Source organism: Homo sapiens, chromosome X (genome assembly GCF_000001405.40).
Source record: "Homo sapiens chromosome X, GRCh38.p14 Primary Assembly".
Classification (NCBI taxonomy): Eukaryota; Metazoa; Chordata; class Mammalia; order Primates; family Hominidae; genus Homo; species Homo sapiens.
The window spans coordinates 9341641-9356103 of NC_000023.11; the positions used below are offsets into that span (position 1 = coordinate 9341641).

Genomic DNA, 14463 nt, shown 5'->3' on the forward strand with positions numbered 1-14463 from the left:
GGAGTGCCTGGGTGACTACCCCAACCCTGCCTCAACGGCACCCCCTCCCTGTGCACCGACAAATAAATGGTGGCTGTAAAAAAAAAAAGAAATAAATGTTTTTTTAAGCAGTGCTTCCTGTTATGTTCAAGGAAGACTAGGGCCGTTTTATTATTAAGCAATTTTCTCTTTTTAAGTAAACACACACACGACCACATTGCTGCAAGGCTAAAATCTCTTGCCTTACTCAAGCATCGACGTTTTCAATCTCCTATTTTCTCAAGCCCTCAATGAAGCCTTCCAAGAGCTTGCCTATGTTTAATTTGCATTCCGAAACAGAAAATCTAATGTGTTTTAACATTGTCTGCTTCAGCTGAAAAGGAAACTGTAAATTTATACAGTCTGGTTTAAAAAAAAAAAAATTGGCCATTGCATCTAAATGAGTCTCCTCCGGAAAGAGGCTGGGTGGCGCCCCTCCCCCTCCTCCCTCTTTCACTTCCCCTCCCGCTTCTCCCTCTTTCACTTCCCCTCCCCCTCCTCCCTTTTTCACTTCCCCTTGTCCTCCCTCCCTCACCTCCCATCCCCCTCCCTCCTCCTCCCCTCCCCCTCTGCTTTTCACCCCCTCCCTCCTCCTCCCCTCCCCCTCTGCTTTTTACCCTCCCCCTGCTCCTTCCCACCTCCCCTCCCCCTCCCCCGCTGCTTTCACCCCCTCCCTCCTTCCCTCCCCCTCTGCTTTCACCCCTCCCTCTTCCTCCCCTCCCCCTCTGCTTTTTACCCTCCCCCTCCTTCTCCCCTCCACCTCTCCCCTCCCCATCCTTCTCTGCTTTTCACCCCCTCCCTCCTCCCCCCTCCTCCTCCGTTTTGCACCCCTCTCTCCTCCTTCTCCTCCCCTTCCCCCTCCTCCTCTGCTTTTCATCCCCTCTCTGTCCCTCCCTCCCCCCTCCTAGCCTCCTCTCCCTGCATTGGAGTTTAGGCCACAGCCTCCCTCCTCCCTCTTAGTCTTCCAGCCTCCTCCCCTCCCCTCCCCTCTCTTCTCCTCCCCTCCCCCAGGATCAGACTCGGGGCCGGTCTGTGCCAGCGCCCTACGTGGACTGGGAAAGAATTACCGAGGACCTTAGAAGAGCTGCGCACTCGCAGCGCCCCGCCCCCACGCCGCCGGCCGCCCGCGCGGGTGTCTCCCTGTGCTCCCAAAACACGGCTCAGGTTCACCGGGTCCTCCCCCGGGGATCTCAGGGCTGTTGGGGGGTGCTGTGGTTCCCAGAACGCCGCGACACTCTGAAACAGGAAAGGGGACGGCAGAGGGGTCCTGCTGCGGGGGAGCCCTTGAGAAGGCCTGGGTGGAGAGGGACTTGGGGACAGAGGTAAAGAAGGGAGTCTCTGGGGGTGAGGAAGTGCCTGGGAAGGGCACGAGGAGGAGTTGGGGAAGGGAAAATCAGGCCCAAAGTTTTAGGGCTCTGTCTCTACTGAAGGTCAAAAAGGGTTCCTGCAGGGCAGTGGGAGACCTGCTCCTGACGACCCCGTCCTATAATTAAATCCCTGAGTAAGAACACTCCAGAGTTGGGGCTCAGTAGCTGCCGTGTGCACCTGCGCATCAGATGCCCCCTAAGCGTACCCCTGGAAGCCTCTGATTCTGTGTCATCACGGCAGGAGGGGATTCGAGGAGTTTTGGAAGACGCCAGGATGACGTTCTTAAGCCATCTGATGGGTGAAGGGGCTTCTTCACTTCGCTGTGGCTTCACTACTTAGATGTTAAAGCGGCTTCTCTTCCTAATAAAAAACAAAGTGTAGCCACTTTTCTGTCCAAGAAAATAAAAATTCCCAGAGAAAACCAACGTTGACGTTTGCATTCACGACGTGCCTGTCGTTTTCCTCTGTGTGGAAGAATTTTCCCATCCAAAAATGGGAGTTGAGGATGGAGGTGAGGTAAATAATAAAATCGGGCTCACTCTGTATAAATAGTTCAGCATTCCGATTTGGTTACCTAGTATTAAAAAATAAATATTTTTCTAGGTCACTAAATATTTTTCAAAATTATACTTTAAATGAGGGCTTAAATTCCACCGCGTGGAATTGTATATGCCAGAATGTAGTAACCATATCCCTCTTGCACAGTATTCCTCTTGTTTAACATTTAAGGACGGTATCCTAAGTTATTCCCCATTGTGTAGTCACATAAGTCACCTTTTTCTTCACTAGCTTCAGTGCAAGAAATGAATACAGTTTCCTCTGCACCATGGGTCCGTCTGTTGCCATTGCCTGCACTGGGGTTGTTTGGAATTCCTGTCTGAAACTTTCTAGAGTTAAAGGCAGAAAACATTGGCCAAGTTTCCAAGCCTAAAGCTGATTCTTGACCTTAGTTAGACCTTATGTCAGAAAAGAGGGTGACAGCTACTTGGGAAGCTGAGGTGGGAGGATTGCTTGAGCCTGGGAGGTTGAGGCTGCAGTAAGTCATGATCGTGCCACTGTGCTCACGCCTGGGTGACAAAGCGAGACCCTATCTCAACAAAAAAAAAAAAAAGAAAGAAAAGAAAAGAGGGTGAGCAAAACAGGACAGTAGGGGGTGCTCCAGGTGTCTGGGGGGGGGGCATCGCCAATATCCTAATATCCCAGAGCCTCGGGAGGAGCCCTCTCTCCCAAAGCACTGCCCGCCACATTCTGGGGATGTCCTGCAAAGCCTAAATATTGGCGGTGGGGAGTGGAAATGTTCCCTTCTGTTATATTCTCTACTAGAGTGTTTTGCATGTTGATATATATACATATGTGCATTTCAGCAAGATGGTGGATTTTATTTTTTCTTATTTTTGAGATGGAGACTCGCTCTATTCCCCAGGCTGGAGTGCAGTGGCACGATCTCAGCTCACTGCAACCTCCACCTTCCAGGTTCAGGCAATTCTACTGCCTCAGCCTCCTGAGTAGCTGAGATTACAGGTGCCCACCACCATGCCCAGCTAATTTTTGTATTTTTAGTAGAGATGGTGTTTCACCATGTTAGCCAGGCTGGTCTTGAATTCCTGACCTCAAGTGATCCGCCCGCCTCGGCCTCCCAAAGTGCTAGAATTACAGGCGTGAACCAGGACACCCGGCCCTGAGTGACATTTTTTTTTCCTTCTTTGAGATGGAGTCTCGCTCTGTCACCAGGCTGGAGTGCAGTGGCGCCATCTCAGTTCACTGCTCCCTTGAACCTCCAACTCCCTGGTTCAAGGGATTCTCCTGCCTCAGTCTCCCGAGTAGCTGGGACTACAGGCACGCGCCACCACGCCGAGCTAATTTTTGTATTTTTAGTTGAGACGGGGTTTCACTATGAAGGCCAGGATGGTCTCATGATCCACCGACCTCGGGCTCCCAAAGGGCTGGGATTAAGGGTGTGAGCCACCGTGTCAGGCCAAAATGAAAGGCACAAATCTCAATGTGGGACATGATTTTTGGCATCACAGTGAAAGAAAACAGTCACGTGTTAATGATGAACTTCACAGGCCTCAAAGCTCATGGCCTGAGTTTATGAAGAGTCCCCCAGGAGATTGGTGGTTGGCTTGAAGGAACCTCTCTTTTTGTGTTCATCACACAACTTGATGAGGAATATTGAATATTGAACATAAAAAGAAGAAATTTGAGAACAATACACAGCCTTGCCTTCCACAAATCATCACCCCTTGACTTCCATTTCTTTAGTAAGAAAGAATTAACTCCAGAGCCATTCTGGTATCTTCAGAATGCTGGTTCGCATAGTGGACCTTCAGTTCTTTTAATCAATAATCAATAATTTAATCAATCATATCAATGTTACAATGTGATCAACCATATCTGTCTACCCAAGAGAAATGAAAACATGCATCCACAGATTCCTAGATGAAAGCTCACAGCAGTATCACCCATGAGAGCCAAAAAGTGGAAACAATCCAAATGCCCATCAATGGATACGTGGATATACAAAATGTGCTCTATCCATACAATGGATGTTATTCAGCCATAAAAAGAAATGAAGTTCTGAAATGCCAAAACGTGGTTGAACCTTGAAAACACTATGCCAAGATGCAAAAAGGCTACATATCGTATGATTTATTTTATAAGAAATGTCCAGAACAGGCTAGAGACAGAAAGTAGAACAGTGGTTGTTGCTGGTGAGGGGAGGAGAAGGATGGGAAGAGACTGCCAGTGGGCACAAGGTTTCTTTCTTTCTTTTCTTTTTTTCTTTTTTGAGACGGGTCCTTGCTCTGTTGCCCAGGCTGGCGCGCAGTGGCTCAATCACAGCCCACTGCAGCCTCAACTTCACAGGCTCAATTGATCCTCCTACCTCAGCCTCGCTAATAGCTGGGACCACAGGGGCACACCACCACACCTGGCTAATATTTGTATTTTTGTAGAGATGGGGTTTCTCCACATTGCCCAGGCTGGTCTCAAACTCCTGGACTCAAACGATCCCCTCGCTTCAGCCTCCCAAAGTGCTGGAATTACAGGCAGGAGCCACTGAGCCCAGCCTGCGCCAGGTTTCTTTTTGGGGTGATGGAAATGTTCTAAAATTAGATTACCATCAGGATTGCACAACTCTGTAAATTACTAAAAACAAAACAATGAATTATGCAGTTACAATGGGTGAATTTTACGCTATGTAAATTGTATCTCAAGAAACTCTTCTAGAGTTTGATTAACTCTCAAGTTTAAAAATGTTATAGCGTTGGCCGGGTACAGTGGATTACTCCTGTAATGCTAGCACTTGGGGCTGCCGAGGCAGGTAGATCGCTTGAGCTCAGGAGTTCGAGACTAGCCCAGACAACACGGCAAGACCCTTGTCTCTTAAAAAAAAAACACAATAAAAAGTTATAGTGTAACAGATCATTTTTGCAGGCACTGTCTCCAAGTGAAAAAAGGCCCCTATTATAGACCTATTAAAGGCAAAATACCTTCAGGATAGGCCACTCTAAAGCTAGCATGTGCTAGAGCAAATCTGTGACAAATCCTGGCTTTTTCTTCAAGACCATTTCTCTGCTTTCCTACTTGGGTCTAAGCCCTCGTTGCTTTGGGAATGCACTTGAGCTCAGTCCTTCCAGCCTTTTCTGCCTTCCTGCTGGTTCCCAAGACACTCTGCACCAGATCATCTTTGCCATGGTGTTTCGCTGCCTTTCCCATATGCCATACAAAATCATCCATAAATTGCTGGGCACGGTGGCTCACGCCTATAATCCCAGCACTTTAGGAGGCTGAGGCAGGCGGATCTCTTGAGGCCAGGAGTTTGAGACCAGCCTGGCTAACATAGCAAAACCCTGTCCCTACTAAAAATACAAAAATTAGCTGGGCGTGGTGGCACATGCCTGTAATCCCAGCTACTCGGGAGGCTGAGGCAGGAGAATCCCTTGAACCAGGGAGGTGGAAGTTGCAGTGAGCTGAGATGGCGTCACTGAACTCCAGCCTGGGAGACCCAGCAAGACTCTGTCTTTAAAATAATAATAATAAATATAATAATAATAATAAATATATAATTATTATATATATAATTATATATAAATATATATAAATAATAATAAATAATAAAATAATAATAATAATAATACCAATCCATCCATTTATGTCACTGGCGATGTATGAGGTTAAGCCCGGCCTCCTTAGGCTCTCCTTGAACTAACCTCATCTGACTAGCGTGAGCTGTTTGGTGGTTCCTTCTCCCCCAGGAAACTCCCATCCACAGTAAGAAGTACATTTCACACAGAAACACAAGACCCACATACACATATATGTGACCAAAATGTGACATGATGCTCATGAACTTATCCTTCCCCTTGCCATGGGCTCATTCTATAATTTTCTGGGCTATCCACTTCCATTTCATGCTTTCAGTGCTAGTCACTACCCACTCAACTGAATGCACAACCAACTAATTTTTGAGATACGCACCTCAGCAATTTAAAAAGCTTTGGTCTAGACCAGTGGCCCTCAGCCAGCAGGGATTTTACCCCACAAGGGATATTAGGCAATGTCTGCAGACTTTTTGAGTTGTCTCAAACAGGTGCGGGGGGTGCTCCTGACATCCCATGGGTGGAGGCCAGGAATGCTGGTCAACCCCCTACCGTGCACAGGACGGCCCCACCACAGAGCATGCTCCAGTCCCAAATGTTCACGGTGCTGACATGGAGAAACTGTCGTCTCAACTACAGAAAAGCCTCAGTCTCGGCCTGGTGCAGTGGCTCACCCCTACAATCCCAGCACTATGGGAGGCCAAGGCAGGCAGATTGCTCGAGCTCAAGAGTTCAAGACCAGCCTGGGCAACATAGTGAAACCCCATCTCTACTAAAAATACAAAAATTAGCCAGGCGTCATGGCGGTCCTGACGCCTGTAATCCCAGCTACTCAGGGGGCTGAGGCAGGAGAATCACTTGAACACAGAAGGCGGAGGTTGCCGTGAGCCAAGATGGCGCCACTGCACTCAGCCTGGGCAATAGAGCGAGACTCTGCCTCAAAAAAAAAAAAAAAAAAAAATTAGCCAGGCATGCATGGTATCAGGTGCCTGTAGTCCCAGCTACTCGGGAGGCTGAGGCAGGAGGATCGCTTGAGCCCAGGAGGCAGAGGTTGCAGTGAGCTGAGACCACACCATTGCACTCCAGCCTGGGGGATAGAGTGAGACCCTGTCTCAAAAAATAAACAAAAAAAAAGAAAAGAAAACGCTCCAGTCACTTCATTGACTAAACAGATCTTGTAGTTAACTCTAAAATAAGTTGGAAGGAGAATTCTCAGTAATGAATAAAAGAGAGCTTGTTCCTGCCTCTCCTTCCCCCTTCTCACCAATATCTCCATGCTTGATGTTATTAATCCCATGTGTGCCATGTAGACCCCAGCCAACTTTGGATCCCAGCCACAGTCTCTGACTGTACAGTTATTATTTAAATGAGGGCTGATTTGCAGTGGATTTGCACAGGCGTCAGTTGCCTTAGCTTATGTGGAGCGGTGTTGGTCCTATCCCTTGGTCACTGCCTCCTGCACAGCTAATCCCGCTTACCCCACATCTAAACCATGTGTCCTGTGATGCTCCAGTCTGGCCCCACATTGGGGGCACTCTGGGAGCTTCAAACACTCCCACCACCCAGGTCCCACTGGCAGAGACTGGGGTTTCATTGGTCTGGGGTGTGGCCTGCACATCCAAATTCTTGAAAGCTGCCTGGCAGCTTTCAATTTTTTTGCCTTTTTGTACTGGCAAGGTTGGAGCTTCGTGATACACTCCTTCCAACACTCCCAAGGCAGGGCTGCATGCCTCCACTTTGCTCCCATTGTGAACATTCTCAGACTGCACATTCCTCTGTATTTTATGATAGAGACAAACCCACAATCGCCTTTTGGGAGGCATGCTCCTATAAGTTAATATTCTGAATTCTGGTTCATGGAAGCTTCTCCTGGGGAAGAAATAATGCTAGATTATTGCTGGGGAATGGAACTGAATAACACTTCTAAAAATAGAATCGTTTATGTAAGTCAATCCTGGCACCACTGGCATTTGGGACTGGATAATTCTGTTGTAGGGGGCTGCTCTGTGCACTGTAAGATGTTTGGCAACATCCCTGGTCTCCATCACTGGATGCCAGGCGCGCCCCGCATTGTGACAACCAAAATTGTCTCCAGACATTGCCAAATGTCCCCTGGGATGGGAGGAGCAAAATTGCCCCCAGTTGAGAATCACTGACTTAAGAGTATACAGAAATGTATTTCTGCTTTGCTGATTTTTAACTACATGAAAATACATATATATATTGTCAAAATATTTTCCAACCAATTATGTAATACCAAGTGTGCTGTGTTTTGTTGAGGTGGGAGAAAGAACCATACCTCTTCACTGAGGTTACATGGATAACTGCTTTAGAAGATCCATTGGTACACTGAGTTCTGCAAGGAAATAAAACATTTCTAAATTTAAAAAAAAAGAAGAAGAAGACCCATCGTAAGACTAACTGGAAAAAAGACACGATTCCATTCACAGCAGAGCATGGTAATGAGCTCAATGAAATTAGCAAAGACCAGGGATCTGGCCAGTCCTTGTTCCCGCTGCTGGCTGCCGACCAGTCCCTGGGGCACCTCCTGAGTGCCATTCTGCCTTCTCACTACACGTTCCTGTCTTTGGGGGAATCATGGGATCTCTCCCCTTGCTGAAGTTGTCCCTTCAAACACCTGGAGAGTAGCCTGCCTATGAGGAACAAGACATGGCAGTTTGGGGACAGTGTGTCACTTCTACATTACAGAGAGCTGTTGCGCATGATTCCATCCAACTGCTTGTCACTGCACAGAGCTGCACTGGGGAAACAAATAATGCATAACTATTTTTAAAAAATAAACAGAGCATCCACGGGTTTTTAAAATGTAATCTGCAACATTTATAGAACTATGTTAGGAATTATAAACTATGTTAGGTGAGCAATTGGCCATCTGAATGCTTTCCCTGTGAATTGTTTGTGGGGGAATGAGTCATCCTTTTCCCCTTTCTTGGACCTGCATCCATTATCCTGCAGTGGAGCGATGTGTTCATATATGACTTACACATGGGACCAGCTGCATGATTTGTGGGGCGCAGTGCAAAATGTAAATTTGGGGTCCTTTGTTCAAAAGCAGAAAAGAAAGATTTTTCCTTCCCTCCTCCCCAGTCGTTCTGGACCTGTCATGGTGTTTTTTCACTTATTCTTATTATTGTTAGAGACAGGTTCTTGCTTTGTGGCCCAGGCTAGAATACAATGACACAATCATAGGTCACTGCAGGCTTGACATCCTGGGCTCAAGCAATCCTCCCGCCTCAGCCTCCCAAGTAGCTGGAACTAGAGGCACACACTCCTGCGCCTGGCTTTTGCTTTTTACTCTTAATGCAGCACCTCTTTGGGCATAGGGATACTCGGAGGGCCAATGTGGACTCTCACAGGCTCCCGGGGTCCCACCCACGACTTGGCAGGTGGGGCACATGCCTGCTGACCTGAACCTCTCCGCGCCTGCCAGAAGGCAGAGAGTAGCCACATCATTGGATGGGGGCAGGGAAGTGGAGCACAGAGAGTCCATCCTGGGAGGCAGGGAGGTGGCACCTCCAAGCCCTGGGCTCATGCTCCACTGTCCTGTCAGACCGTCGCTTTCAAAATACAAACTCAAAGACAACATGATGAGGCATTGCAATATGGAGGTTGCAGAACATTAAACCAGTCCATGTGGGACTGAACTGTCACAAGGCAGCAAAGCTGGCCCTGCTTACACATAAAATACTAGCTAATCTCTATATAATCAGGGAAAGGTTACATTAGAATGTTTTCCAAATCACAAGGATGATACTATAACCAGCTACCCAAAACATTCATACTTTTAGGTTAAAATTTACATTTTAGTCTCCTTGACGTCTGGGTATTTGGAAAAAAAGAAAAAAAATTAACGTTTTAGGCACTTCCATTTTTCTCGAGAGCCAAAATTTTCCTTTTGTTTTCATTATTAATGTCTATACAACGAAAACATGCATCGTACATTTTTAAAATCGACTTTCCTTTTGCTGTTTTTGCCATACATTTCCTGACTGGTTTGTAAAACAGCCAAAAAGAACTGAGGAGTGGTAGCTTATGCTATGACCAAAAAATATACATTTCACAAAATTAAGTTGTCCCACGCTTGAAAATAAAATAAAATCACTTGCCAGTGACTTTGAATGTGGCTAAGCAGTGTGGCTTGCCAATTATGAGGTGTGAAGATAAAGGACTGTCACGCTAAACTTGTCTTCTTTCATTTGATGTCAGTTTCTCAGAGTAGGGACCTTGAACCACCTGTACTGAACTTGGAACCACCTCAACCTGCCCAGCTCCATGGATCCCAGCTCCAGGGTGAGATCTTAGGTGACTGCCTTTGTAACACGCATCACAGGTGGCTGAAACACACCCACAGTTTGAGACCCACTGTCTGGTCTAACATCACTCTGTCCTCGGAGTTTTTTTTTTTTTTTTTTTTTTTGAGACAGAGTTTCGCTCTTGTTGCCCAGGCTAGAGTGCAGTGGCGCGATCTCGGCTCACCGTGACCTCCACCTCCCACGTTCAAGCGATTCTCCTGCCTCAGCCTCCCGAGGAGCTGGGATTACAAGCATGCGCCACCACGCCTGGCTAATTTTGTATTTTTAGTAGAGATGGGGTTTCTCCATGTTGGTCAGGCTGGTCTCGAACCCCTGACTTCAGGTGATCCGCCCGCCTCGGCCTCCCAAAGTGTTGGGATTACAGGCGTGAGCCACTGCACCCAGCCTTGTACCCGGAAATTGAGAACAACACAAGCCCCTCCCAGAAACACTACACATCCTCTCTTGTTGTGGCTGCTGAACTTACTCTGACACATTCCTTGGCTGAAATACCAGCAAGCCACAGACACACCTTGCCTAAAGGCGTCCACAACACCACTGATGCAAGCAGTCGCACAGCAAAATTTTGCGGCCACAGGGATCCACCTGCTGGCCCACAACTCACATCTCTGGCCGCATTGGGTTCCAAGTGCGCTCAGGAGTTAATCACACACCCTTTCTTCTTGGCTTCTCTCCTCTCCTGAGGCAGGTATTACAAATACAAACACCCATTTCCTTCTCTGTGTTTATGCTTTCTTGGCACAATTCCTACTTGAAAGGTAGGAACAAAAATTCAAAATGCAAATACCCTCAGCTCAGGAATCACATTCTTATCTTTTCTTAGGAGATGACTTGTTTTTAACTTTAAAAAATCCTCAACATAAAAAAATGGTTTTTGTTACATTCTTGAGACAGAAATCTGCTAACTTGGCAAATTTTTTTTAAACTTATTCCTTTCGTTATGGTCACACACACCTTTCTTTTCTAGGGGCAGCAGTAATTTGCATTAGACACGACGCACACTTGCTTTCATTTCTCAGTGTCTAAAATACCATCTTCTTGTCACTTCTCTTTATCAAGCCATGCACCTAACAATGACTTGTTCGCTTCAGGAGACTCAGGAAAAGGAGCTGCTGGTCCTTGTTTTATCTGCACATTTCTTGAAGGATCCCATCCAGCAAAACCTGGCCTGCCTTCCCTGGAATTTTAATTTTGCCCCAGATTGTGTGTTGGTTTTATTATTTAAACAAATTTTAAATTACAGGAGTACAAGGAGCCCTAGAAGCAAAAGAAACTATTCAGATGACTGCTTAGAAGCTTTCGTAAATTCTGCAAGGTGGTGATAACTGTCGATGACTCGGCAGGTTTTTCGGAGAAATGTACAGGAAGCGAAACCCACTGCGTGTCTAACGGGTCCAGTATGTCATTGTGCAACGTCCCACAGGCCTTCAATGTCCTCAGAGCTATTTTGTGACCTACACACTGCATGGAGATGCCCCACCGGCTTTGATTGCACCCTCTAGCAAAAGAGATTTCCCTGCAGCTTGAATGGGGCAAAGCAAGTTCTTTGAAACAACAACCAAAAAGATGCGGGTTGGGGAGAAAAGCTTGGCTCTTTCCCCAGACTCTCTGGATAGCGCAGCTTTCCTTTTTTCTATCCTCCTGGCTTTTTGTTCTCCATCATTACTCTGAGTCAGCAAGGAAGAAATGGCAAGGGACTCCGGAAAAACATGTGTGATAGGGTGCCTGAGCAAAAGGCAACATTTCATCAGTTCTTTTTATGAATCAGTCTTTGATTTGGGGATGTACTGTCCAAAGTGAAAGACTCCTTGGAGATTTGCCTGGTAAGAGAGAGACATGTGGTAAACCAATTCAAGGTCAGGCAGATCGGGCTTGGGTTGCATAGGTTTTTGTAGCCCAGCCCCCCAGGCTCTCCACTCACCCTACAGCACGCATTAGCTGCGTGTCTCTTTGCATAGAGTCGCTTTTCATAAGGATCCTAAGGTGCAGGGGAGCAGCAGCCAAGGACAGCTGCCCAAAGTAGCCTGCTTCCAGGACTGCAAAGAAATGGAAAGAGCAGCATGAAAGGACCCAGTCATGGCCTGGCACAGTGGCTCACACCTGTAATCCCAGCACTTTGAGAGGCCAAGGCGGCCGGATCACTTGAGGTCAGGAGTTTGAGACCAGCCTGGCCAACATGGTGAAACCCTGTCTCTACTAAAAAATACAAAAATTAGCCGGGCATGGTGGCACGCACCTGTAATCCCAGCTACTTGGGAGGTTGAGGCAGGAGAATCACTTGACCCCAGGAGACAGAGGTTGCAGTGAGCCAAGATGGCGCCACTGCACTCCAGCCTGGGTGACAGAGTGAGACTCTATCTCAAAAAAAAGAAAAAGAAAGAAAGAAAGAAAAGAAAAGAAAAAAGAAAGGACCCAGTCACACCAACTAACCCATCGATGTCCAACAGGGGGCTACGCTTGGTTACAAAACACATACCTGCATGTTGAGAACCATACAAATAGAAGTGTGTGGGCCAGGCACAATGGCTCACGCCTATAATCCCAGCACTTTGGGGGGCCTAGGCGGGCAGATCACCTGAGGTCAGGAGTTCGAGACCAGCCTGGCCAACATGGCAAAATCCCGTCTCTACTAAAAATACAAAAATTAGCCAGGCATGGTGGCAGGTGCCTGTAATCCCAGCTCCTCCGGAGGCTAAGGCAGGAGAATAGCTTCAACCCGGGAGGCAGAGGTTGCAGTGAGCCAAGTTCGCACCACTACACTCCAGCCTGGGCGACAGAGCGAGTCTCGTTCTCCAAACAAACAAACAAAAAACAATTAGAAGTGTCTGTGCAATACTAGCTAATATTCTGCCTGCATTTCCAGCCCTGCTGACTCTTGTACAGGACCTAAGGTCAACAGTTCTTGGGCTCTGAGGAACTTTGCTTCTCTTTCTGGCCTCAGCTCCACAGGCTCCATGAACCCAGGTCTAGGGATCTAGTTCACTCAAAGGGACTACGAAATCAAGCTAAGCCACTCAGTATTCTTATCGTATCCTCCTCCAAAAGCAACAAGATGTATGCTCAAGAAATAAGAAGACTCTAGCAAGCAGACCAGAGTGTGTCTGGCATAACTCTTTTTGGAATAAAGTAAGCGCCTTCTAATTAATGGTATTGCTCCTGTAGGTTTTCAAGTTTTATTTAATTGAATAACCACTTATGTGGCGAAGCTCTATGCTAGCATTGAGAGAAGAGAGACAGGGATCCTACCATTGAGTGGGTGGCTTTGTAAAAGGATCTGCAGTCAGTGAGAGGAATTTACAAACAGCCAGAGCATTCACAAAGCAAAGGAAGAAGTTTACAAATATCGGTATCTACGTAGGTGAGACCACAGCGGCTCAAGATCCCTTTGCATCGGGGGTTGGTCAGAGCTTCAGGGGAATCCTTTGGAATCTCATCTCATTAAGGGGTGCTCAGAGCTCTGCCCCAGACATCCTGAGACCCAGTTCTTGAGGAAGTCGTCCATCGGTGCCCAGGCAAGACAGGTAAGGATGGGAGGTCATGCGTGTGGAGTGCCATGACCGGGCCACGAAGTGCAGCAGCTGTGTAAGGGGGTGATCCACAGCTAGGCGAGCTTCACAGTCATCCTCGGATATGCACAGAGTGGTCAAAGTCTTTGAAGTTGCTCAACATGCATGTTCCCAGCTGAGGTCAAACGAGGAGACCCTCTGCCTTCCTGTTTCAGCTCTCATTGCTGTAAACCAGTGTCTTTTTCACAGCCTACCTCGTGCCATGTTTTTTGCATGTTTGTACTTCTAACTAATTATTTCACTTATTAAAATGGTTCCCAAGTGTAGAGCTGAAGTCCTGTCTTCTGTTCCTAAAACAAGTAGGCTGTGATGTGCCTCACAGAGAAAATACACATTTGACAGCTATTATTCACGTATGAGTTACAGTGCCGTTGGCCGTGAGTTCAACCTTAATGGATCAATAACATATATTAAATGAGGTGTCTTCAGCAGAAGACACACAAAACAAGATTGTGTATTGATCCGTTGACAAAAATGTTTGACAAGAGGCTCCAAGACCCCGACCTGTGTGTTTCTCCTAGGAGCAGAAGTTTAGTATTTGCTAATTTGGTGCGCATGGAGGCTGTAGAGAACACCGCTACTTTGAATAATGAGAATTGACGGTATTTGTTAAACGAATTAAAGGAAGTGTGTCAGAAGAGGGATGAGGAAAATGTTCTGGGTGTTCAGAGACCACTTCCAATGGGGGGAACCAGGGAGAGCCCACTGGAGGGGACACGTGTGAGCTGCGTCTTGCAGAGTGGGTCAGACATGGATAAATATTGGTCATGTACGCCCTGAACGGTGGAATGGCATGAGCACAATCCCGATGTGGGAAACCTTGACACTTGTACATAGAGCTTGCCCCAAGCTCAGACCCTTTGAGTCTCGATGGCAGTTCTATGACTCACAGGATGTGTGACCTTGAGGAAGTCACTCAGCTTCCGGTGAGGTGGGGTTAACAATATCACCTATCTCATGAGGTTGCTATAAGTAACAAAATAGATTACATCTTAACCAAGAGCCTGGTTGGTGCATTGTTAAACGTTCAAAACCATTCAGTTATTTCTGTTGTCATTATTCTATTACCAGGTCACT

The 14463-nt window shown here is 47.0% G+C and overlaps 4 annotated features.

The window, feature by feature from the left end:
* Positions 360 to 419: an enhancer, noted in NCBI's record as "active region_29398". NCBI's record gives its function as "activates an Ori minimal core promoter by ATAC-STARR-seq in GM12878 lymphoblastoid cells {active_cell/tissue: GM12878}" and the evidence as "EXISTENCE:reporter gene assay evidence [ECO:0000049][PMID:35858748]".
* Positions 10794 to 11993: an enhancer, noted in NCBI's record as "MED14-independent group 3 enhancer chrX:9320474-9321673 (GRCh37/hg19 assembly coordinates)". NCBI's record gives its function as "activates an origin of replication core promoter dependent on BRD2, BRD4, P300/CBP and CDK7 cofactors, and independent of MED14, by STARR-seq in HCT116 cells {active_cell/tissue: HCT116}" and the evidence as "EXISTENCE:reporter gene assay evidence [ECO:0000049][PMID:35650434]".
* Positions 11072 to 11131: an enhancer, noted in NCBI's record as "active region_29399". NCBI's record gives its function as "activates an Ori minimal core promoter by ATAC-STARR-seq in GM12878 lymphoblastoid cells {active_cell/tissue: GM12878}" and the evidence as "EXISTENCE:reporter gene assay evidence [ECO:0000049][PMID:35858748]".
* Positions 11152 to 11261: an enhancer, noted in NCBI's record as "active region_29400". NCBI's record gives its function as "activates an Ori minimal core promoter by ATAC-STARR-seq in GM12878 lymphoblastoid cells {active_cell/tissue: GM12878}" and the evidence as "EXISTENCE:reporter gene assay evidence [ECO:0000049][PMID:35858748]".